This window comes from Homo sapiens, chromosome 10, assembly GCF_000001405.40.
Source record: "Homo sapiens chromosome 10, GRCh38.p14 Primary Assembly".
NCBI lineage: Eukaryota > Metazoa > Chordata > Mammalia > Primates > Hominidae > Homo > Homo sapiens.
In genome coordinates, this window is record NC_000010.11 from 10,602,232 (window position 1) to 10,629,066 (window position 26,835).

The 26,835-nt window shown below is 41.3% G+C and overlaps 1 protein-coding gene across 9 annotated transcripts in view; it reads left to right on the forward strand.

Annotated features, from left to right (window-relative positions):
- The window catches only part of CELF2 (CUGBP Elav-like family member 2), an 874,126-nt gene that overhangs the window by 139,682 nt on the left and 707,609 nt on the right, over positions 1–26,835 (forward strand). The window lies entirely within an intron of this gene.

The window sequence follows — 26,835 nt, forward strand, 5'->3', positions numbered from 1 at the left end:
TCTTCCTATGAGTGGCAGCTGTACCCACTGAGATAGGCTGTGTACCTGGGCCTTCTTTTAATTGCTCAGACCCTTGCTGACCTTTTGCAATTTTGCAAAATCTTTGAACCCTGGTTACAAGTCTGGGGTCCTGACATACCGGGGTTCACTCTTACTCATGTGTAGTCCCCCAAACCATCAAACTTTGTGCAAACGGTAGGAACTAGATCACTTTTAAATAGAATAGAACTGAATTGCCTGGAGTAGTAGCATGTTCTAGATAGCTAATGACAGCAGATTTTGTGATGTGACAATCCTTTATATTTACGCAAAGTCATTTTCATTTCACGGATACTCACTGAGTGTCAACTGTGTACCAAACTCAGACGTGGTGATCAGATGTTTTTTAATTAATAAATTTATTAAACTTTTGGCAGTAAGTCTCCCACTCCAAAGCTAGAGGGAGATATTTTTATATTATTATCTATTTTTTATCTACTTTTTAATTGATCAAGACTTGATGAGCATACATGCATTTCTAAAAAGTGAGCAGGTTTTTAGAAATGCATGTATGCTCACCATGTGCCACAGAACTTGAGAGCAACAGGAGCCGGTCTTCTGTTTTCAACAACTTGTCATGAATGAGCCACAAAATCGGTAAATCATGGGTGTATAATTCACATATACCTTTGTCTGTCTTTTCCTAACTGGCATTCGTTGAGGGATTTGGAGTTGTCTCTAAAACATGCGACTGTGCGTAGCAAGGCCCAGGGAAAGCACAAAGAGGGAAAGTACATTATGTTTAGAAACATTTTGGATTTCATTTGTAACTTTACCAAGTAGACATAAAGCTGTTCTTAGACCAGTATTTTCAGCAAATCACACTCAACCATAAATCTTCAATTTCATTTTCTATTATTTCTAACGAAAAGAAGAGTCAGATAAATGTGTGCATATTGAACACCTGGTAGAGCTTTAATAGTGTACTGCTCTGTCGGATAGAGAATTGGAAATTCAGTCACGTAGGGAGACTTAAATCTGTTTTAAAGCAATGTTAAGTGCACCGAGAAGGCCCAAAATAGCTCCATGCAGCTTCAAAATGAGAAAAATAGCCAAAAGGACAATGAACTGGAGGTAGAATTATTTTCCATATATTTCGCATTTCTAGGCAATGCATTCCCCATTCAAGCCACAGAATGAATGAACAGCTGAGGAAGCAGCCTGAGATGAAGGCTCAAATTGCTTTTACCTTGAGGCCACTGTCTTCTGCCTCTTGGGAAGCATTGCAATCTAAACTCTTCTTATTTTAGGAGAGTGGAGAGAAAAGGGGGCTAATTATCACAAAAGTAGACTTTATCACTAATCTCATCACCAGAACTGCACCACTAACTTAAACAAGAATTTGGAATATTTTACGTTAAAAAATTCATTCTCTCTCTTAATAAAATAAGGATAAGTGCCTTTTCTCTAATAGTCAGCTATTGAACCTGTAGGTCTCTAGTGTTATTACAGAAAGTAGTGAGATCTCTAAACAGAGACAGAGCAGGGAAGCAAAGTCTAGGATATTTACACATACACACACACACACACACACACACACTGTCCTTGAAAAGTAAACTTTAACTTATAAAATTAATACTATTCATAATATAAATGATAAAGGTTGGAATGCTTCAGATATATAACTAAAATGTTGGTTAGAGATTTACAAATAATAACCAGGCATGGTGGCTCATGCCTGGAATCCCAGCACTTTGGGAGGCCAAGGTTGGAGGATCACTTGAGGTCAGCAGTTCGAGACCAGCCTAGCCAACAACAACAAAACCCATTCTCTACTAATAATACAAAAAATTGCCAGGTATAGTGGTGGGTGCCTGTAGTCCCCACTACTAGGGAGGCTGAGGCACAAGAATCGCTTGAACCTGGGAGGTGGAGGTTGCAGTGAGCCATGATTTCACTACTGTGCTCCAACCTGGGCTACAGAGTGAAACTGTCTCAGACACAAACAAAAAAAGATTTACAAACAATAACTCATTCTTAGAACACAAATTAGCTTAAGATACGATAGATTTCGCATTGTTGCTGTGGTTCACTGGGAATTAATGAATCAAAGGTTCTAGTCAAAAAGAAGTTTGATATCCACAAAGGATTGACCAAAAGGATAAAACAAGTTGAAATCATCAGGTTCTATGGTTTTATCTCCTGGAGAAAGAGTAAAATGAATCTCTAAGTTTCCTCATGGTAGTAGTCGAAGTAATAATTCTCAGAATCATTGTATAGGCTATGGTGAGTAAGCCAAGAGACCAACATGAGTTTGTTGAAATAAACATGTTGCTCAACATGAGTACTTAGGAAAATAAAATGTATTGAATTTACTTAGCTGTTTTTCCTACAAGAAGCTATTCCCATAGATTTTGCTAGAATTACCTACCTGTTCTAGCCAGCATCTAATCAGTGAGCAGCCCAGAGTCTCAATCAGATAATGGGAAAAAGCAGTCAAATAAGCATGTCTTACTTCTTCATTATTAATACAAACATTTTGTCCAAGTTAATTATTTATGTGAATAACTTAATCCTTATATGAAAATTGAAATACTTTTGATGTCTGTTCTTTGAATATGTATATTCCATCTCACCATTTTATTTCTATCTTCTTAAAAATAGTTACAAATAAAAATGCATAACTCTGACCCAACAATCCCATTACTGGGTACATACCCAAAGGAACGTGAATCATTCTATTATAAAGATAGATGCACATTTATGTTCATCGCAGCACTATTCACAATAGCAAAGACATGGAATCAACCCAAATGCCCATCAACGATAGACTGGATAAAGAAAATGTGGTACATATACACCATGGAATACTATGCAGCCATTAAAAAGAATGAGATCATGTCCTTTGCAAGGACATGGATGAAGCTGGAAGGCGTTATCCTCAGCAAACTGATGCAGGAAAAGAAAACCAAACACCACATATTCTCACATATAAGTGGGAGCTGAACAATGAGAACACATGGACACAGGGAGGGGAACAACACACACTGAGGCTTGTCGGGGGGTGGGGTTCGGGGAGGGAGAGCATTAGGGAAAGGACCTAATGGATGCTGGGCTTAATACCTAGGTGATGGGTTGATATGTGCAGCAAAGCACCTTGGTACACGTTTACATATGTAACAAACCTGTACATCCTGCACGAGTACCCTGAAACTTAAAAATGTGAAGTAATAAAAACATAACTCCTACTATCCAATAAGGCTGTAGATTTTCCATACTGTCAAGAAAACCTCTGTCGTTATAGCTGAATACAAATACGATTACTCTTTTGGTTGACTTATTGGGCAAATCAGAGTGCGTGGTTGAACCTGTGGTTTACCACATAGTCAAACGTGAAATCAGCTTAGAGCATTGACTGGGCCTCGCCCTGGCCAATTTGATCCCATTGTATATGCATGCTTAAGCTGAGAAGAGTCCAGGAAATGAAGATCATGTGTGTTTGCGCAAATATTCTGTGAAACCCTGGGCAACAACAGAGGGTCACATCCATCCTGTGAGAAACAGCAAAGTCATATATGCCCAGTGCCAGGCATGCTTTTGGGAGGCTTCGTTTAATCAGTCCAAAAAACTTAGTTCAGAAAGCAAATACAATGAGTTATTTGGAACTGCGATAGGGCCTAGGAAATTGCTGGTCTGTAATCACGAGCCAAGAAGCATTTGCATCATGTGCCTGTAATGTATGATCTATGCTGAATGTTCTGCCAACATTTTCAGGGCGATAAGTCATTTTACAACCCTGAATGTGACTCAGAACGTTGGAAAGCACTGGTGTTTTGTTTTGTTCTGTGTTCCTCCCCATTCCTTTCTGTCCCAACCCTTCGGTCTCCATTAATCCAAGTAAATATGGCCTTGGTTTTCAGAGGTAAACAAAGGGGTAGAAGGATTCAGTGACTGCCTCCTGTAAGTCCTAACTGCAAGTTAGAAACACATTTAATGGAATATGTGCAGCATGAAGATATCTGTGTTTTACTCAAAAAAACGTGATTGAGGAGACTTGGCCAATTTCAGTCTTCCAGGAGACCTTAGAAGGATTTAGGCTGTAATGGAAAATTCACTGGACAGAGAATAAGAGACCTAAATCTTAATCGCAGTCCTGAAACTAAAGACAATTACATAAATTCCTTGAGAATTAACTTAAATTTAATTAATTAAATTAAAGTGGTGGGGCTGACTCATGGTTAGTCGAGGACTAGCTTTAAATTGAATATGGCTTACTAGTGATAAACTGAGGAGAGGCAGGCACCACTGCCACTCTCAAGGCCCTTAGCACATATTTTCACAAGTTACCAGTAGCTGTTATGGTCACAAAACTAGAAAATTAACTAGCATTGTATGGGATTCAAATCAGCAAACTTGGTTCTTTGTAACATGTTCTAACCAACTGAGATTTTTGCGAAACATATTATATTGGTCCCTTTATGAGTTGTACCTTAAAGTTCTCTGGAGTCACTAGAGTAAAATTAGAATATTAAAATAATAATTGTATAAAATTGGATGGGCCAACTACAAAAAAAAGCAATTTCTTAAAGGGTCTGGGAAAGTCTCCTTTCTCATTTATCTTGAAAAGTATGGTTTTCTAGAAAGATGTAACGACTCAAAGATGGCAGATTAGGACTTAGACTAGATATGTTAAGAACTAACTGTGTACCCTGTGTACCCTGGGGTAAGGTTACCCTCACCTCATTCTGAAGTTCTTTCTAGAACTTAACAATTCTATGGCTATTTTAATTAAAGAAAAAAACAAAGAAAAATATTGCTGAGACCTTTAAACATCATCGTGGTGTTATGTGCTCTCCATAAATATTCAAAAGCTATTTAATGCTAATAGCTGATCCTTGACCAAGAGCAATTTTGTTTCCTTACTCAGTTTATAACCTCAGTAATACTCCTAACACTGAAATATTCAACGAAGATTCCACATCAGCCAACCACTTGAAATGAATAATGTAACTGCTCTTTGGTGCACCTCATCATGTGGTTTTTGTTCAGGAATTTCATTTTTCACAGTGTTACATTTTATTTATGTAAAGAAAATGTTAAAAAAAAATAGGAAACAGCAGCAAAATGAGCTACCTGACAGCCTAACAAAACGCCTGCCATAGGAATTGTGACTCCCATTTGTAACTTGTAGGTTCAAACTACCAGTAGTTGAAATTACAGGTTTATTCTTTGATAGATCTCAAAGCCAAGTGTGTATAGAAACCCATTCTAAAAAAGCAGCAGGTGTTTTTCATTCATCCTGATTTCCCCCAAAACACAATGGTATCAAAAGAAAAATACTGTAAGAAAGGGATGGGAGGGGATTAGTTACTTTTTCTCTGTGAATTTTAGAACAAGGTCATTAGGTAAATATTCTTCTTCAAATGCAAGACTTCAGGAGAGAAATAGAAAATGTAAAATCCTTCAAAACTAGTGAGTGAATCATTTTCAATTAGATTCAGCGTTTGCCCAAGATCACTAAAAATGAGAATCCAGGCATTAAAGCAATACATGACTCTGTTTTGGGGGGATGTCTCCAAACAAAACTTCTAAGTATCAGGCTGGGCATGGTGGCTCAGGCCTGTAATCCCAGCACTTTGGGAGGCAGAGGCAGGAGAATCACTTGAACCCAGGAGGTGGGAGGTGGCAGGTGGATCACCTGAGGTCAGGAGTTTGAGACCAGCCTGACCAACATGGTAAAACTCTGTCTCTTCTAAAACTACAAAAATTAGCCAGGTGTAATGGTGGGCATCTGTAATCCCAGCTACTTTGGGAGGCTAAGGCAGGTGAATCACTTGAACCCAGGAGGTGGAGGTTGCAGTGAGCTGAAATAGCGCCATTGTACTCCAGCCTGGGCAAATGAGAGCAAAACTCTGTTAAAAACAAACAAACAAACAAACAAACAAACAAACCTTCTAAATATCAGTTGAATGAGGCCAATCGTGTGTTACAACCTTGGTTATATCATCCTGGAAAGCAATGGAATTACCCAGAAGATACTTGGTTTGGGGTTTCCAGCTTCAAGGAGCTGCTTGAATGAGAAGAGAGAAAGCGTTTTTGAACACCAGAAGTGTTTACCTGAAGACAACCAGATTAATACTGGCCTGGGGACTCAAAATCATTCATCCTTAGGACTGTCCATTCCTTTAGGCAAAATAACATCCTGGACTTAGTGCATCCCACAGGATCCTTAATTAGCTCCAAAGTCAAGATTAGATGCTGCAGATGTCTCTGTTGTTTCCTCTTAGAACTTGTGGGCTTGGATAGCTCTGGGAGCCAGATTATTTTATCATCTTTAATGGCTGTTCTTTAAGGAAAGATTTAAAACTCAATCCAGGTTGAATTAGAGGCGAGGGACAAAGATATGGATGAAATGAAAGCAAATGAGGCCTGACCTCACAGACAGCATTCCACTTGTGTCCTATAATCTATACATTTCCAGCTCTCCCAGGCTCTCCCCAGCCCAGCCACTGAGACCAAATAGATGATGCTATTCAGGAGTCTAAGGAAAGCTTCTACTCCGCCACATATCTTTCTGTATTATCTGGAATTCCTCCGTCGAGAGTAGTGATTCTTAATTAGAACCACATATCTTAACTAGAACTACCTAGAACTAAAAGTACTTGTAAAAATATGGCATAGGGACCCCGTGAATCAGCAGGCTTAGTATTGGAAAGTATAAACGCTCCAGAAATGGGGGCAGGGCATGTGACTGTGATTTGTGGCCAGGATTGAGAACACTGGCCTCCGTGAGCCAGGATGAAAAGCAGCCTCCTTGCAAACGTAATCTTCTCTGGGAGAACCATTGCTCTTTCCTGCCTTGATTGTCATGTCAATCACATTATTTTATCATTTTAGTGTAGGCAGTCTTAGTGTTCGTCTAGTGTACTGTGTCATGCCTATATTCCAGGTGAGAGAACTAAGTTCAGAGAGAAAAATTATATGTTAGCCAAGGCCACATGTGTTTGCTGGCCAAGGCTAAAGGTACAATCCAGTCATTTTATTTCTGACTCAATAAACATTCTGCTTTGCTGCCACCAGCACTACCATCATCAATTTGCTTATTTGGCATCTGATAGCATGTACATTATGAAATAGCATCCCATCCAATAAGTCATAGTGAGGCCGGAATAAGAGAATTGTGTGCAACATAGAAAATGGTTAATAAATGTTTCTTTCGTCAAGATTTCCCGAATACCACCGCGCGTGCACACACACACATCTCCTTAGGAGCTGCACAGCAAAAGGTTTTGAACAGCTGATGAGAATGTCATGGATGGAAGCAAATGTGAAGGATAAGAGGGAGGGGAGGTGCTGAGAATAAGAAGTGCAGGGGTGGAAAAGTCAAGGCAAACTTTGCTGGGGCCAACTCTGTTCCTCCTAATAGAATCAATAGATTCTTCTTACAGAGGAACAGATAATTGGCTTCCTAAGTCTCTTTAAGGAACAGATGGGATGTAGGAGTTGAGAACTCTATTTGGGGATTGCTGTAATCACATTAGATGCTATGGTTTTAGCCAACTCACCCAACTGGCTTGTGACTCAGTTCTCTCCATCTGCTAACGTGCTAAAACAATGGGCTGTGCCATCGTCTGCATCTACTTGCCTCACAGATATGCTTGGAAGAGCAATATACAAACCCTCAAAGATGTTTTGCGTTGATTCAGAACTGCTCAAGGTACAAGAAATTCACTAATCACTGTGGTTAAGGAGAAATTAATTTTAACTTTCGTATTCAATGAATTTCTGAGGCCCATTCTAAATGTAAACATTATTTTCAAAAGGAAAATTGATCTGGAACCTATTTATGTGGATCAATATATTTTGCTATGCACCATATATCAATTAAGATAATTAGTTCAGGCTGCAATACCCTTTGATATTTTGATCAAAAGTAACAGACAGTAACACATTGAGCCTTGCTTTTCTTCAGTCAGTTAAATAAGATCTATCAAAATGAATATGCTACCAGCTTGATTGAATGTGCTACAACCTCCAGCATTACTAATTAGAGCTGTATCCTTAAGATATTCATGGTATGAAGAATTAAAATCTTCTTCCTACACAGAGTGCCATCTTCACACGCTCTCTCCCTCACTACTTCCTTAAAATGATGCCAACTCAAAAAACAAAATTTTTCATTCTGAATTTTAGAACATGTGTGAATATCATTTTATTCCATGAGTTGCTTTAGAAAGTTTATGTAAGTTATAATTTGAGGTTGGTATTTTTTTAGAAGTGACATGTTTGATGGTTCATTTAAAATGATTATTGCTCCAAGTTGTTTTTGCTAATGTGAGAGAACTTTAAAATCTTACATTTATCTTTAGACAGACTTAGAAACTCTTTGAGATTGGAAGTCAGAAGTTTAAAGAAAGCGGGTTTTCTTTAATTCAACTGCAGTTAACTCACAGGAAACTGTCCTTCCATGCTAATAAATGCTTTTGTCTCTGTGATGCCCAAAAAGTCAACAATGGATTCAGCACAGTCAATAAAAATAGTCAAACTTGTTATTGACTAGGTATAAAGCAAACAACTTAATTGGCTCATTGTCTCATTTTTAGACCAGTTATAGTGATTAGGGGGAGAAAATGACAGAATTCTGAGTGGAGAAAAGAAAGATAAATCTGATGACAGTCAAAATGCATACTTTGCAAATCATTATTGTCCAAATAAAGAAAGATGGAAGTAAAATGACCCCATGTGGCCTGAGGATTACACTACTTTCTGTCTTTTAGGATTGGAAAATGGGGATGAGGCTAATGAGTTTGGACGAGGTGCTCTGTATGTTTTACTATGACCCAACTATGATGTGAGTTGGAAAGGACAGATTGGAGAGCAACCCTGTAGTGGGCCATGTCACATGTATTCCTCTGTATCCCCTGAGTTATTGTGTGGGTGGGAAAGAACTGTGGCCTCATGCAGATGCGGCCAGAACCAAGCTGGCAACTGACTATATGGAGTGACTTGGAGAGGAGTTCTGTAGCAGGTAAGCTCCTCTAAGAGCCAACCTATCATGGGTCATAAAGAGCCATTGAGAACCAACACAGCAAGCACTGGGCTTACCCTAACTTCCTTCCTTATCTTACTTTACGAAAATTTTGTATACCTCTTCATCCTTATATTTGACTTTTTCATTTTTAAGCTGCAAACCTGCCACCCCAGATAAATTTACCTTGGCAAAGCACTTGAAAATGTGGCCTCCTTTTTGCATTAGTAATGCCTTTTAGAACCCGTAAGTCACCAACATGGGAAATGACTACACAGTCGTAATATGCCATATTTGTAACAAAACGTAACTGAGATCATTTCAAATTACTGCTAACAACCCTACAAATCCAACATGATTGAAAACACCCTTCCCCAAAAAGTCAATGTCATCTCTGTCCTTGTCTAACTTGATTTCCTGGTTTAGCTAGAGATTAATGACAGGGAGGCAGAGACATATGAGGCCTGTTAATTATGTACATACACTCAAATACTCACACACACCTCTCTCTATATGGATAGGCAGACAGATAGATACAGGTATAGATATTGATGTATAAAATCTCCTTTTATCTTTTTATTTTACAATGTGCTCAGGTAAGCTATTTGTCAAAACGCAAAAGAGGCAAGAACTTAGCAGGGTCCTTTATTACTAGGGAGAGGGAGGAGGCAGTGATTCATATTGATCCATACCATTGTCTAAACATTTAACAAGACTCCAAGGAGATCCATGATTTCAGCCTAATATGTAGTTAAATTTAGGAGAAAGAGGATCACCCTCTCTACTGGTTATGGTATTATGTGGCTCACACAATCATTTGGCAAAAGGAAAATTTCCCTTCAAGTCTACTTATTGAAGTATTTGGTAGACCTACCCATAGAAGTATGACAGTGGCTTTTATCCCCACAATGGTCAGTATTATTTCCACTGGGTGGGGGAACTATGAAAAAAATCTCATTGAGGAAAAAAAGAAAAGCCAGTTTGCTTTATGGGAAAACCAGATCCAGTCGTACATTCCATCTTTTGGTTTTGGTCAATTTCCCCAGGCACCGGTGAAATTATAAGCTTCACTATAGATTGTGTGAAAAGGAAGAGGCATGAAGTATAAAAATGGAAAAACCACACACACAAATAAATCTCAGATCTGTTACTCATTAACTGTGAGCTTAAGCATCCCGTCACCAAATAATTGTTAAGAATTTTGTGTGTCAAGAATTCTGCTAGATACAGAAACATACAGGCCAGAGGGAGAAAATGAACCATTCTGATTAGCAGAGACACATTCTGTATGGAGGGAATAATATGTGCAAAGATATAGATGTTCTGCAGCAGAAGATGCTACAGGGAGGTAGAAGGAAGTTGAGTCATGACAGTAAGCCTCTCAATTTCTCCAGGTCTCCATCACATCTTCAAAGTAATGGGTTTGTATTGGATGCCTTTCTTTCTGCTAATCCTGTGATACCCTTTGCTGTATTCCTTCGGGAGCTCCTGTGCTCCCATTTGGAGCCACCACATCTGACCAGTTTGCATGTCCCTTCAGAGCCAGATTCTTGTATCAGGCCCATGTAATTTAAGATGACTGGTCACTTCATCCTGATGAGAAGCCTAGTTTTCTCCAAATTAAAGCATTCCATATAGTAAGAAAGATCTTACTTGGTGTCTGAATTGTAAGAATAGAGTCTTAGCTGGACATTTCAACCCACGGTTAGATGAGTGCAATTGTTTTATTCATCCAGTTAGCATGAAGTGCCAGATTTTAAAATGAGAAAATAAAACTAGCATCAGAGGAAGTCAAGCAGCCTAAAGAAACGCTCAACAGACACCCATTCAAGGTGTAAGCATTGGAAATCAAACTTTAATGGCTTCGAAACTCTTAGCTCAGTAACTTTTAAAAGTAGAGGGTTTTTTTTTCCTAGTATTTTCTTTGCCACAAATCATGAAATAAATGTCAAGTGGAATTACAAAGGGAGTTTTTTCTGTTCGTCCTCAAAGTAAGTGTAAGCCATGTGGGGGATCGGAATATTATTGTTGCTTGACAACATTATGCCCAGAAAATACCAAAAAGCAGAGAGAGTTTAAAATGGGTATTTACATATAATATCCATGCATGTTTACATTTAATATCATACTGGATTTAATTTTATTACTTTCCGGAAGGCAATTGGGAGAAAAATAAACACAGTGGAATGTTATCTCATTGGCATGCGGAATCAATGTGGTGATCGTATGGCTGATATAAACTCATAAGAGAATGCTTCTGACATTTCATCGGGGCTTCTTAATTTAGTATTTACAATGTCTGTGTGAAATGATATAGTAGTTTTATTGTTTAATTACAGAGATGGCAGAATGTAACAGATTCCTGACTTTTCCCCCTTCGTTACAATTAACTTCCTCTCAAATTGTTGAATGCAAACATGTATCAGTTGGTCCCCTGTTAGGGCTGCCATGGCTTGTATTTGAAATAACTTCTAATCCTTCCTGAAAATGCTTTAAAAGAAAAAGCTTTTCCTCTCCAATATGTGGACTTTTATTATGAGCAATAATGTAACACAGGGGTATGATTATGGCGAGATAATCACAGTGCAAAATAGAAACGATTCTTTGGAGTACCATAACCTCCCCAAAATTATTATTCATCTTACTGATGTCCCTTGGATTTATTGCTCCTTCCTGGAAGGTGATAAGCATTTTGGAAACAAGGGCTGGATTTTTTTTATTGCCCTCAATGTCTATAATTTTTAAATGGCATTATTTGGACTAGCAAGTGTAGAATAAAGAGGTTGAGTCAGAATGAGGAAATAAACAAATGCTTTGGCCCTCTCCCCAGCTAGTGGAGAATTCATGAGAGTGGGCAGTAACCCAAGTAATGTTTGTGCAAAGGAGACTGGGCTTGTGTTTCTCGAATAATTTGGATTCTAGGATCTAGATTAGCCAATCTAGAAGGTTGATTAGGTTGACCAGATGTCTCCTTCCTCCCCCATTTTCCCTTTGGTAATTTTAGCCATTTTTATTACGCTCTTACATTGAACACCAATTAGATGACTGCTAGCATTCCCGCTCTACCAGAGTGGTAGAAGACTGTCTCCTTCTCTCCACTCCTACCTCATTTTCCTCCAAATAAGCAATTCTCCCAATCCCTATAAGGCAGCCTCTCACCCAGCAGCCACATCCGGAAGGCAGTTCTCCATAGGAGTTGTTTTTCTGACTTTAAAGGAAGATTTATCTTACGGCAAATGGCTCCATTTAAACAAAACAAAACTAAACTAAAGTTGTAAAATTCCACTGTCTTCAGACCTGATCGTGAGTGATTCACATTCCCTACCACTCCACAGAGGCTGCCACCAGGAACTCGGCAAGAGAGAATTGATGGAGTTGCTTATTCGCAAATAAAAATGAACAAGGTGCTAGGCCTGTTGACAGGGAGAGAGATGGGCCCAGCCTTATCTTCATGTCACTGTCCTTGCCAGTTGTTATCACACTATTAAGATAAAGCAGGTTATCCAGGTTTACAAGCCACCGATTGGAGGTTGGATAGTGAATTCAGGACTTTTTTCTCTGCAATTACTGTCCAGAGCCCAGGCGAAGGTGAGATGGTAAATGAAGAATCTGTTCTTCAGGAAACAGACACAGGAAAGAGCAAAGCACGTAGGTCCCAAGACACAACTTGTCTACACATAACTCTTTTTCGGTGGTGGGAAGCAATCAGGTCATGGGAATCGACGAAGAGGCAAGCTCTGAAGAGCATGATGGTATCCATGGGCTTAGTTTAGTAAAGGTACAGTTTGGTCGGTCTGGCTCCCATCTTCCAGTTCCTGGGAGCCGTCTTCCCATCAACCAAGGAGGCCTGTTAAATTCTAGTCCCTGATACATAACTGAGCAACCTACTCACTGTTGTCTAATTTATAAAGCCATGAAGTAAGGCACAAATACTGTATCAAACTAGGGGGGAAGTAAGACATGTATGAAAGTCCTGTTCATCTTCATTGTTTGTGGGTCCCGTATTTGCCAATTCACCTACTGTTTAAAATTTGTCACTGCAAAATCAATACTTGCAGCCCATTGTGATCATTTACAGACATGCACAAAGCAGCAAAAAATTTGGGTTGTCAGATGGATGCATCCCCGCTGAGGTCCAGGAGGCCACACTCTGCCTTCCTGTTCCAGCTGTCAGGCTGTGAGCAAGTATCCTCTTCGCAGATTATTTAGTGCCATGTTTTCCACATTTCTGCGCTTTGTGGTAGTGATGTTGCTGTTTAAAATGGTCCCTAAGTGTCATGTTGATATGGTTTGAATTTGTGTCCCTGCCCAAATCTCATGTCACATTGTAATTCCCAGTGTTGGAGGAGGGACCTGGTGAGAGGTGATTGGACCACGGGGGCAGATTTCCCCTTTGCTGTTCTCATGATAGTGAATGAATTCTCACAAGATCTGGTTGTTTAAAAGTGTGACACCTCCCCACTCTCTCTTCCTCCTGCTCCCACCATGTAAGATGTGCTTGCTTCCCCTTCACCTTCCACCATGATTGTAAGTTTCCTGAGGCCTCCCCAGAAGCCTGTACAGCCAGGCAGAACCATAAGCCCAATTAAACCTCTTTTCTTTAAAAATTACCCAGTCCGAAGTATGTATTTATAGCAGTGCAAGAATGAACTAATATAACTGGTGAAGGAAGTCTAATGTTCCTAAGAACAAGAAAGCTATGATATACATTATCAAGAAAGCCTGTGTATTATATAAACCTCTTGCAAGCATGTGTTAGGATGCTCTTGGCTGGAGTTCAGTGTTAATAAATCAACATTATATGTTTAATGAAGTGTATCTAAACAGAAACATAAGATAAGGTGATTGGCATATAAGGTGACTGATGTATTGGCTGGTTGATGTGTGACCAGAGGCTGACAGGAACCTAAGCCTGTATTTCTCCTAGGAGCAGTGGTTCAATGTTCCCTAGTTCAGTGTTTGTAGTGACTTTTACAGATTACAGCTACCACAAATAACAATGATTGACTATATTTTGGAAAATGAAAGCACTAGTACTCTCAAAGGTTTTGTTTGGGGTGTGTGTGTGTGTGTGTGTGTGTGTGTGTGTGTGTGATTATCTAAAATTTTAGAAAGCAAATTCAGAACCTATTGGTTGGAGGAAGTGGCCTCCTGTTATGGAAAGAATTCTCTCAATTTCCCTGGGCATTGCTTTGTATAGAGAATCAAGGGGTTATATGAAGGTTGTGTCCAGGTTTCAGGTTCTGTATAAAATGCCTAACAAATAATCGTTGGATGTATAAATGGGATTCTATAGAAATCGTAACATAAATACTGCTGTGTGGGTCTTGGCATTATGCACTCAAGACACTTTTTATTTAGGCCAGAGAGAGGCTGTTACCTACTCACTGCCTCAAGAGAATGAGGGCAAAACAGTGCTTCCTCCTCACCCAAATTCGTGTGTGTGTGTGTGCGTGTGTGTGTGTGTGTGTGTGTGTGTGTGAGAGAGAGAGAGAGAGAGAGAGAGGATCTTATTCTGTCACTCAGGCTGGAGTTCAGTGGCATAATAATCATAGCTCACTGCAGGCTCGAACTCCTGGGCTCAAGCGATCCTTCCACCTCAGCCTCCCATGTAGCTGGGACCACAGGCATGCACCATTACGCATGTAGCTGGGACCACAGGCATGCACCATTACGCCCAGCTAATTTATTTATTTTTTGTAGAGACATAGTCTCGCTATGTTGCCTAGGCTGGTCTCAAACTCCCAGGCTCAAGCAATTCTCCCACCTCAGCCTCCCAAAGTGCTGGGATTACAGGCATGAGCCACTGAACCCAATCCCCAAATTCTCTTTCTAAATTGAAAAAATTCCTGGATCAGCTAATAACAATTTTACATACAGCAAATAGTTTCTCAGATCCCTGCTAGATACATCTCAAGGAATGAGAGTTGTAACAGAATGGAATGACAACTTTGGGAATATGAGTTTGCAAAATAGGGTCAAGGGAAAGTCAGGCTTGTGTGGAATGCCAAAATAATAGTTAACATGTATTGATCCCTCACCATGGGCTAGACACCCTTCTTGGGGTGAGTCATATAATATTCACAATACCACATTGTGAACCCCATTTTAAAGTGAAGCCAGCTGGGCACAAGAGGTTAGGTAACTTGAAAGGCTACATGGTTATTAAATGCTAACCTAAGGTTCACAGCTCAGGTTCAGCAAAGGAATGACAGTATCAAATTTAGACTTTGAAAGGATCCTTCAAGCTGGATTCTAGATACTGGATTGGAAAGAGGCAGGCTTAGAGAGGGTGCCTAGCACATTGTGAGGGATCAATACATCATCACTCCCCTGCTTAACCTGGGCTCTTAACCCAGACCATCTGGCTGCAGATTCCTGGCTTGAACCCTTGGATACAGCAGCCCCCTGACTTTCCTCCTGGGGAGAATGAACAAGGCAGAGACTCTAAAGGGCCTTAGGCTTTGTAAAGGGGGGGGAAATAGGTCCAAAAGGGAGAGAAGAAAGTACAGGAAAGGGAAGCCAGAGACAACCAAAGCACAAAGCTTTACTGGAAGTAAGTAACCATGCACCAGAGTATGGAGGGATTGCCAGAAAGGATGCACATCTAATTTACATTAACATTCCAATTCAATAACACCCTATTTATTTTCCTAATTGGTACAACATTTTTATGCTGGAACCAGAAAGCACAAGGCTCTAAAAATCCCCCGGCCGTAACTCTTGACTTCTTCCCTTCCCTCATTCCTTCCCTAAATCAAAGCAATCTTGAACTCTTATCAGCTTAATACTTCTTGACTCTGAGCAGCTCTCTCCACCCCCAGGGCTGTGACCTTCACTTAGCTACCCTCCATCATCTCTTGCCTGGATTGCCGACACAGACAGCTCTTGGTTTCTAAGCCTGCCTCTTTCCAATCCAGTATCTGGAACCAAGCCTGAAGGATCTTTTCAAAGTCTGAATTTGAGACCGTCACTCCCCTGCTTAAAATCAATTTTTGGCTCCCTGACCTCTTAGGAATGAGCCCATTTCAAGGTGCACAGGGACCAGGCTGCTTCTTCCCATCCAGCCTCTTCCCTACTCTCCCTCTTCATCTTAATCCTCCATGCCTCTCCTTGAAAGAGCCCTGATCATTTATACCTCAGGGCCTTTGCACTTGCCAGATCCTCAGACTTCTGGCTTCAGTATGAAATTTTTCTGATGAAATCTCACTTTTCTTTAGAGCATCAAAGTCATGTCATCCAGGAGGCCAACTCCAGCCCATATAATTGAGTTCAATGATCATACTGCAACTCAAAGCACCCCGACCATTCCTCATGGCAACGCTTATGGTGGGGCACTGAAATGGCCTCTCATTCGTCTCTTGTTCTCATGAGACTGTAAGTTCCCTGAGGACAGGAACTGCGCCTTGTCTGTCATAGGATGACCAAGTCCTACTGAAGCAGCATCGTTGTCTGGAGTAACTACCTGAAGGTCGTTGCCTCACGCCAAGGAAATCAAAGACACAGACACACGCAAGGAGTGAGTTTAAAAGTAGAGGTTTGATAGGCAAGAGAAAGAGAAAAGCTCTCTCTCTTGCAGAGAGAGAGGGGGTTCCAAATAAGTCTTCTGGTTCCATGGTGAAATACAGGGGGTTCTATAGCTGAGCTTGAGGAGATAGCATCTGATTTACACAGGGCATGAGAGATTAGTTGAACCAGGTGTGCTGTTTGCATAGCATGTGAAGAAGCTGGCCATTTCACCCTAAACTTTTATTATGCAGTTAGGGTCTCTACCTGGCTGGCGCCATGTTGCCTGCCTTTTTACTGCACACGTGGCAACAAAGAAGGAGGAAGGGGGAACTTCCATGTTGAACATGCCTGGCCGCCAGATAGCCTTTTCCTATTGGCACAGCTGCTAGCATTTACCTATGCAAGCTTCAAGCTTGCTTATTTATGTCTGCAGCTTGATTTTTCAAGCTGTTCTTTGTTAGAAAAAGAAATGATTTGTGGGCTGCTTTTTATTAAAAGGGAAATCTTATCAAGGACTCTCTTACCCTCACTAACTGCCTAGATAATTTCTTTTTAGCTCCTGTGTCATTACTACAGGCATGTAGTAGGTAGTAGTAGGTATTTGTTAAAGTGCTCTCCCAATTAGAGGCTATGGAAAAACCATCTGGACCTTGAGTCTTAGTTTAAATGTGTAGAAATAGAACATAGAAATCTTTACAGAACAGCTCGTACATTCATAGTCATTGGGCTGACTTTAGTCCACAGGTTTGTTGTGTTGGCGAACACACCATTGTTTCCAAAGATGGACGTGGAGGTCTTTGGGTAGAGCGCTCCTCTTCAACCCCCCTCAGGCTTCCATGTTCCCTATGGTCTTACCCACCTGGCCCTTGCCTGCCCTGGAAGGCGTAGCATTTATGACCACTGAGTTACAGGGCTGTGCGCTGATGGGAATTCAGTGAGGCAGAAAACGTCGTATTATCAACACAGTTGGTGCCAGAATCTTGAAGATAGGAGAAGTTTGTTTGGAAAAACATTTTCCTAAGGGTTTGGGGGTAGAAATTGAGACCCCATGGGCTTACATACCATTTGGTGCCAACATTCTGGAGAAAAAGAATTGCTTTACCTAGGAAGAAGGGGGTTTTGGCTTGTCGGTAATGACAGGGATGGGATACAGGGTTGAAGAGACGAACGGAAGGAGAGAGAAAGAAACCCACTTGCCCTAAGAGGTAAAATGGCTTCTACGGCTGAACCTTACATGAAAGCACCCTTTAGCCAAGTATCACGAAAAATAAGGTATATTGCATAAGCTTCTCTAGGAGATGAAAGGAAATGAATTCCATATTAGAAAAAAAATGTTTCTAATACTTCCTATCAGATAGTGTTCTCTAAGGCAAGGTTGCCAATCTTGGACCCACAGGCCGAATTTGGCCCACTACCTGTTTTTGTAAATAAAGTTGTATTGGAATATAGCCATACTTATTTGTTTACATACAATCTAAGGCTGCTTTCACAACAGCAGAGTTCAGCCAGGTGTGGTGGCTCATGCCTGGAATCCCAGCTACACAGGAGGCTGAGGTAGAGGGATGGCCACCTCAATTAAAAAGAACACGTGAGGCTGAGGCAGGAGAATCGCTTGAACCCAGGAGGCGGAGGTTGCAGTGAGCCTAGCTGGCATCACTGCATCACTGCACTCCAGCTTGGGCGACAGAGCAAGGCTCAGTCTCAAAAAAAAAAAAAAAAAAAAGCAGAGATTAGTACGTTTACCAGAAACCATATGGCCCACGAAGTGTAAAATAGTTCCTATCTGGCCCTATGCAGAAAAATGTTGCTGACCCCTGACCTAGGGAAATGGCCGGTAGACAATCCCCTTCCCTTGTTAGAATGGCTCAGTAGAGGCAGGGCGTGGTGGCTCAGGCCTGTTATCCCAGCACTTTGGGAGGCCGAGGCAGGCGGATCACGAGGTCAGGAGATTGAGACTATCCTGGCTAACACGGTGAAACCCCCTCTCTACTAAAAATGCAAAAACAAAATTAGCCGGGAGTGGTGGCAGGCGCCTGTAGGTAGTCCCAGCGTCCCAGCTACTTGGGAGGCTGAGGCAGGAGAATGGCGTGAACCCGGGAGGCGGAGCTTGCAGTGAGACGAGATCGAGCCACTGCACTCCAGCCTGGGTGACAGAGCGAGACCCCATCTCAAAAAAAAAAAAAAAAAAAAAAAAGGCGGAGCGCGGTGGCTCACACCTGTAATCCCAGCACTTTGGGAGGCCGAGGCGGGCAGATCAAGAGGTCAGGAGATGGAAACTACCCTGGCTAACACGGTGAAACCCCGTCTCCACTAAAAATAAAAAAATAAAAAATAATAATAATAATAATTAGCCAGGCATGGTGGCGGGCGCCTGTAGTCCCAGCTACTCGGGAGGCTGAGGCAGGAGAATGGCGTGAACCCAGGAGGTGGAGCTTGCAGTGAGCAGAGATGGCGCCATTGCATTCCAGCCTGGCTGACAGAGTGGGACTCTGACTCAAAAAAAAAAAAAAAAAAAAAAGGCTACAGTAGAATGATTCAGATCCAAAAAACCTAATATGCAATTTAATGTGCAGTGTAAACATCAGAGCCTCCTTAATTCTTTGGGAAGAGCTAGTTTGTTCATGAAGCTTTTTTTTGAGAACATTCCCTATGGCACATTTGAAGAACAGTTGAGTTTTACATCCAGAACAAAGAAGCGTAGCATAGGTCTCCACCCACAGAAAGAGAGTTGAGACAATCATGAGAGCCTCAGCAGGCACAGAAATCCCTGAGAGGAACTGATGAGGCTCTACACTTTGCTGAATCCAAATTTACCCCCTTTCTGAAGGGTACCCACATAAGTCACCTACCATGGTGCCTAGCACATAAGACATTCAGGAAACAGGAATTATTGTTATTATCCATTTCACTCTTCCTCTTAGAGTTGGGAAAACGAAGGAGCAGAGACAAGAAGCAACTCTGCCAATAATCTGAAGAAACAAGGAGATCTAGAACAAATATATTTATTAAGAGATAGCAAACTCACATCAAAAAACAGAGGCTAGAAGATACTTGCCATAAGAGGTAAAATGGCATCTATGGCTGAACCTTAAATGTAAGCACCCTTCCACCAGATATCATGAAAAATAAGGTATATTGCATAAGTTTCTCTAGGAGATGAAAGCAAATGCGTTCCATATTAGAAAAAAATATTTCCTTCAGCCCTAAATTCTAAAAGGAGTTTCTCACATAGAGCCTTGAGAATATTTGGATTGGCAAGATGAAAAACGAAGTAATTCACAGCCCAATAACACTTTGTCAAACCTGTGTGGGTTTTCAAAAGTAGCCACACCTAAGCCTTGTCCTCTCGTCCTGACAGTCACTGGGGATGAGCCCCTGGGACCCTGTAAAAAGATTGCTGGTGATTCTGAGGCGCTGCCAGGGTAAAAGCACCACAAGGCCTGTGCATTCAAGGTTTGAGGTAATTTTAGAAGCAGATCTCAAATGAGTGTTTTGGTTTTGAGATGGACCATTAATGTAACTCAGCAGAGGATTCATCACCTGCAAGGGTAGAGTGATTCTTATAAGATGCCAAGGTTAGGCCAGGTATGGTGGCTCACGCCTGTAATCTCAGAACTTTCGGAGGCCAAGATGGGTGGATCACTTGAGCCCAGGAGTTCAAGACCAGCCTGGGTAACATAGTGAGACCCCATCACTACATACATACATACATACGTATGTGTGTGTGTGTGTATATATATATATGTAATAAAATAAAATAGGTCAGGAGCTGTGGTGTGCACCCACAGTCCCAGCTACTCAGGAGACTGAGGTGGCAGGATTGCTTGAGCCCAGGAGGTAGAGGCTACTGTGAGCCATGATTATACCATTGCACTCCAGCCTGGGTGACAGAATGAGACCCTGTGTCCAAAAAATAAAACAAAATAAAGCCGAGGTTATTGTCATCGACTGGGGAAAGAACTGAGATAAATATTAGTAATGAGGTGAAGGAGAGGAGTGCAGACAGGATGTGTGATTGTGGACCTGGCTTTGGAAGCAGGTGATAAACAATACAATTGCAGGGAAGCCGGGCGCGGTGGCTTATGCCTGTAATCCCAGCACTTTGGGAGGCCGAGGTGGGTGGATCACGAGGTCAGGAGATCAAGACCACTGTGAAACCCCATCTCTACTAAAAATACAAAAAAACGTAGCCGGGCGTGGTGGCGGGCGCCTGTAGTCCCAGCAGCTACTCAGGAGGCTGAGGCAGGAGAATGGCCTGAACCCGGGAGGCGGAGCTTGCAGTGAGCCGAGATTGCGCCACAGCACTCCAACCTGGGCGACAGAGAGAGACTCCGTCTCAAAAAAAAAAAAAAAAAAAAAAAAAAAAAAAAAAAAATTGGATAAAATGCTGTCAGTCACACAGGACAGGCAGCCTGTGGAATCTATGCCCATGAATGGCAGTACAGCTGCCTCTATTTGCTAGAATTTGAAACCTGTCTGCAGAGAGTTCCCAAAGGAGGCTCTTCTTATTCCTCAGAGAGCAGCGAATGTGGGTAATCTGTGTAATAAACATGCGTCCAAAAAGTGCTCCATAGTTTACTAAAAGTAAAAGGGCAGTTGGCAAGTTGATTGCAGAATTATCATTTAATTTACTCCGAATTACCTCTCTTCATACTATATTCTGATTCTGCAAAAATGCTAATCTTAACAGTGGGAATTATGTCATGCTGGCAGTATTTGAATGGCATGAAGTCTCTTTCCCTTAGGCAGAGTGGACTGTCACTCTATTTTCCCTGGTTACAGCAGTCCCCAAAGCCACTGCAGCAGGAGCTGCCATGGGGAAACATGGTACCTGCTTTAGTAGCTTCCAGTACTTAGGGGAAAGGATCCAGGAAGAATGTCTGAGCCTAGGCATTAAGAAGCAGATGGACCCACGATGATCCAGAGACAGTGGAGGGGGAAGACATACTGAAATAATGACCATGATGAGGATGTTAAAAAGAGCTTACGTTCACTGAGCATTGATAAGGTGCCATTTACTGTTCTAAGTGCTTTATATAATCTTATTTAATCCTTACCGCAAATCTTCGAAATAGGGTTTATTATACCCAACTTACAGGTCAAGAAGTCGAGATGCAGAAGTGAACTGCCCAGTGCCAGCCAATGAGTTGAACTGGTGAGCCTGGCCCGGAACCCAGGTAGTCTGACTGCAGAGATGATGTGCTCAGCCCTACACCCAAGAAGGGAGGGCCCATCTGATAAGACTATGATAAAACTGGACTCTGCAAGTCTTTGTGGATTGACTCTTCTGCTCTTGTCTCTGCGTTTCCAATTTTGAAAAATTTATCTCTGTGGCTTGGAATGAGAAAGAACAGGATGTACCAGGCAGTGTGCACTAGGAACAATATTCCCAAGGGTGACAAACAGATCCCTGTCTCCGTGGCCTCCGCTTCATTCTTATCATCCCCTCTGCTTTAGTGACAGTTGACATGGATCATAGCTGAGCTTATGTACAAATTTCTACAATCCATGCCAGAAATCTGGTCTGTATCAGTTTTTACAGTCCTCAACTAGAAATGCCTTTCAGTATCTTTAGCCTTTTGTCTTTGTTCCAGAACACGTGAGCCATACTAACAAGTCACAGTCATGCTTCGATGGCATTACCTGAGTCACTTAAAAAACAACAACAAACATTGGTCTGCATCTACACAAGTCAAAATGATTCAGGCTTTCAGTACAAGCAGTTAGTAAATCTAGCTCCCTTCATCTATTCACAGTTCACATCACATTTGGCCAATTCGGCTCATTGATGCATCATGGGTTGTAAAAATGGCCCAAATGAGTGCTGCATCATTACAGGCATGAGCCACCACGCCCAGCATCATGTTTTCCGCACAGAAACCTAGTCCTGATGCGATTATATATGTTGATTGCAGAAAACCCTGGGAGATACAGTCTCAGATCCCAACAGATCTAAACATCTATAAATAGCACACTCTATTCACATGTTTCCCTGAGATTTGACAAATTAAGACAGTCGTCCCAGGTTCCAAGATTTCTGAGAGAAATTCTGCACTGCTGAAATAACTCATGGATAATCATCTCTCTCCAGGGAATGAGGGGACAAGAAACAGATTCACAGGGACACAAAGAGGCAGATGGCAGGAGGAAAGGTCCTCGTGCTGCTACTTTTGTTGTTAACAATAAAATAAGATGTCACACGAAGCTGCGCGGCTCACACCTTTTATCACCGCTGTCACTGCCAAGCCTAAGTGGGCGAGAATATTTCTTCATGTTTACCAACAAAATTAAATGCAAAATAAAATGAAAAACTCAGTCTTCACACTGCCCTTTTGTGACTTCTTTTTCCCTTAAAGTTCTCCCTGACTCGTTCTCAGTTTAATTAGATAGGAACTGTGTAAAAACATAGGGAAGGTGGGAAATTTTCCCTAACCATGTAGGTATGGTATTGATAGAAAAGACAAATTAAAGATAACCCCCATTTGGCTTTTAATCCACTTGCTATATTATCTAAGGGCAATTCTAACTATGGAAATACAGCAATAATAACCACAAGAACGGCAACAGCAACAGTCACTGACCTTGTACTACGGGCAGCTGCCATTACATATTAATGCATTTGATGCTCACGGCAACCTTTTATAACGTACTTTAGTGGGTACTAATATTAATCCCATTTTGCACGGAAGGCAACACTGCGTATCTCTGAAGCACAGTAATAATGCCTTCTATTTTCGTGGAACAAAAGCCTCATGCCCTGCTGGATCAGCTGGGAATGCAGAGAAGTTTCAAAACTTCAAATCTCGAAGCCCTGAACAGCAAGGTTTTCCCCATAATGAAATAGCCTCAGGGCCAAAGTGAAAACTTCTTACTTGATCATTTACAACTCAGGCTGAGTTTAGAAAGGACCCTTGTAGGGCCAGCTTCCTTCAACTTCTCTTTCTTCACTGCATCCTTCCCCTTCAATCCAGCTCTCCATTCACGCTTCTTATCCATCCCTCATTGAAGAGGGGCAAAGGGCACAAGGGCCCCGTCCCGTGATCTGAAGCCCCAGAGGAACAGGGTCGATCTGAGTGTTTGGGCCTCTATGCACCAGCACGATTGCTTCATTATCTTCAGTATGTTTCTTTGAATGCTGTGGTCATTGTATCTATTTCATGTGATTCTTTTTTTTTTTTTCTTCTAAAAATACCAAGTTGTCTGCGAAAGTCAAACCTGGTGCAGTGCAGTGGAGTATAACAACCCTACAGCCGGTTTCACCTGCCACTTGCGGACTTGCAATGTGAAGAATTCTGCTTTGACCTAGAAAGAGAAATATGTTTTGGGATTTGCTCCCAACTTGAACCAAAATAAAAAGCTAATGTGGCTTTTTTTCACCTTGAACTTAATTTCATTAAGTTGATATTCTTGAGTGCCTACATCCAAGGGTGAAGTACATTCGTTGCTTTACTGATTTTTAGTACATGGCAGGTTGGGAGCTGCAGAATCACACATTTTCCAAACAGCTGGGGATCTACACCAGGGTCCTCATTCCTTCGAAAGGAAAGGGTTATTTTCATGTCAAGATCTCCCCATGTATTCATGTTAGAATGAATTTGTGTTAGTGCTAGGTATGGAGTAAATGAGATAAGATTGATCTAGGGTAGTAAATCTGCCTGTACTAAACGAGTTTCATATGCAGTTAACAGCATGTAAATTTCCTAAACGTGATTAACAGTTTCATGCATGTGAAACCTATCAGCTACTGATAAAGCTTTCATAGGGAAAGAAAAAAAAAAGATTACAAATAAGCAGGCTTGAATTCTCCCTCTAGGCTCTAGTCTTTTTGCTATAGATTTTTATTCTAATTTTTCCCCTCATTTTAGAGCTTGATATTTAATACTTTTAAGCGTTCCTATATTATTGAGTTGAAACAGAATTATTCTTCAGCTGGCTGGCCCTGATCACAGGCAGCAGTTTATTGTCTATTTGGTGTACTTCATTGACACCTTATTCAACGTGCTTGCTTCTGTGTATTAATTTTGGAGTCGTCAAATCCTGAAAATGAATCCTTAATCACGTGTTTACAATAGAATTTTAAGATGCTGATTATTTTTCTCTGCTAGCACCTTAGCAACACTGACAACATTTCAAGTGTTACAGGGCTCAGAGGATTTTTGTTTCCAGCATTCCTTAAATCCTAGCGCAAGGCGGGCCATGAGGCTTTGTGAAATAAGGACACATTGTCGGAGAATGTCTCCAATTCCAAACTCTAGGTCTCTGGCACTTAAGAAGCCACTGCTAAGTGGCTGCTGTAACGAAAGAAGAAATTTGTCAGAGAAATCAAAGTTCCTGGGCCACGTGATTAAAAATGTGTAGTGAGGCTCTCGCATTGTGTAGCCCTCCAAAATACCCTCATTGTATTTATTCCTAAAAGGAGGTGAACAAACGTCAGAGAGGTTCACAGGAGTTTATATCTCAGACCCTCAAACTTCCCAAGAAGACCTCTGAATAAACAGATATACCTTCAAGAGGGAAGGGGTAAAGTGTAGAATTTTTGGCTCTCTAGGAATGATTAGAATTAAGGTGGCTATGTTTCAATGTTAATGACATTTTTAGCTGCTTGTCGGCTAATATTAAACATGCAAATGGTCTCAGAACTGCTTCCTGGAGTCCTTCTGTACCGGATCAGTTTACATCTGAGATCAGGGCAAGGAGAAAGACTTCAGGAGTTCACCTCTCTAGAATGCAGAGGGCTGACGCAAAGCCCTAAAAATTAGAAGTCCCATTTCTTTCCAGCACCTTACAGACACTGAAGCTCTTTCACAGATGTTTGCTCATTTGAGCTTCACCACTGGCCACCAGGCAGTTGATGATCTTAGGGGATGGTGGCTCTTGGGTAGAATGCCAAAGGGAACTGCACAACATGAGGAGGGAAAGAACCTATGGGGTCAACTTAAGACACCACCTTGAACCCAGCAGCCCCTCCTGGCTCTTTTGAGCACATTGAACACTGAAGCTTCTACACTTTTCATTAAACTTTCTACATAGCCTCTTAAAAATGAAACTGTTTTTCACTTTCTACCAGAAGATAAGCTCCATGGGAGGAGAAACATGCACATTTGGTTTGTGTTTAACATATTATTTGGAACCATGCAGATGCCTAATTCTTTATAATTATTTTATTTTATTTTGAGATAGAGTCTCGCTCTGTCACCCAGGCTGGAGTGCAGTGGCACGATCTCAGCTCACTGCAGCCTCTGCCTCCTGGGTTCAAGCAATTCTCCTGCCTCAGCCTCCCAAGTAGCTGGGATTACAGGTGCCCGCCACCACGCCTAGCTCATTTTTGTATTTTTAGTAGAGACAGGGTTTTGCCGTGTTGGCCAAGCTGGTCTCAAACTCCTGGCCTCAGGTAATCCCCCCTGCCTTGGGCTCCCAAAGTGCTGAGATTACAGCCATGAGCCACCATGCCCAGCCCAGATGCTTAATTCTTATCTAACCTTAAAAACAGTAAACCCTGAAAGGCAAAGTCAAAAAAATGTTATCAGTATCCTCATGTCTCTAGAACCAAATATTTTATTATCATACAAACTAAGCTTCTCCTATTCCAGAAAAAGGAGACAGAAGGAAGGGAGAGAAAGAACTCATTTATGGAACACCTACCATATGCCAACCATGCTACTAGATCCTTCCTGTGTATGTGTTTCCCCAATTCTCCCCCAAAATGTATGAAGTGGGGAGCAGGATCTCCACTTGGGGGATGAGTGAATCAATTCCATGAAACATTAAGGAGCTTATCTGCTGTCACGGGGTCAAAAGTGGCTGCAAGTATACTTATGTGTCTGACTATAAGACTTTCCTGCTTCATCCATGTCCCTACAAAGGAAGTGACCTCATCCATTTTTATGGCTGCATAGTATTCCATGGTGTATATGTGCCACATTTTCTTAATCCAGTCTATCATTGATGGACATTTGGGTTGGTTCCAAGTCTTTGCTATTGTGAATAGTGCCGCAATAAATGCAGCACACCAACATGGCACATGTATACATATGTAACAAACCTGCACATTGTGCACATGTACCCTAGAACTTAAAGTATAATTTAAAAATTTAAAAAAATAAAAATAAATTAAAAAAAGACTTTCCTGTTTATCAGGCCGCCTTCCCATCAATTTGTGGCTAGAAAGAAAAGGATCCTGACTATAAATAAGGGGTACTTTCTAATTTTAACAACTCAAAGCTTCTGAAGAGCAGAAAAGGACCCACATTGTTAATCCAATTGCATTAATAGACTGTGATAGAAAGACAGGGTATTCCACTCTCCCTAGAGAGTTCATT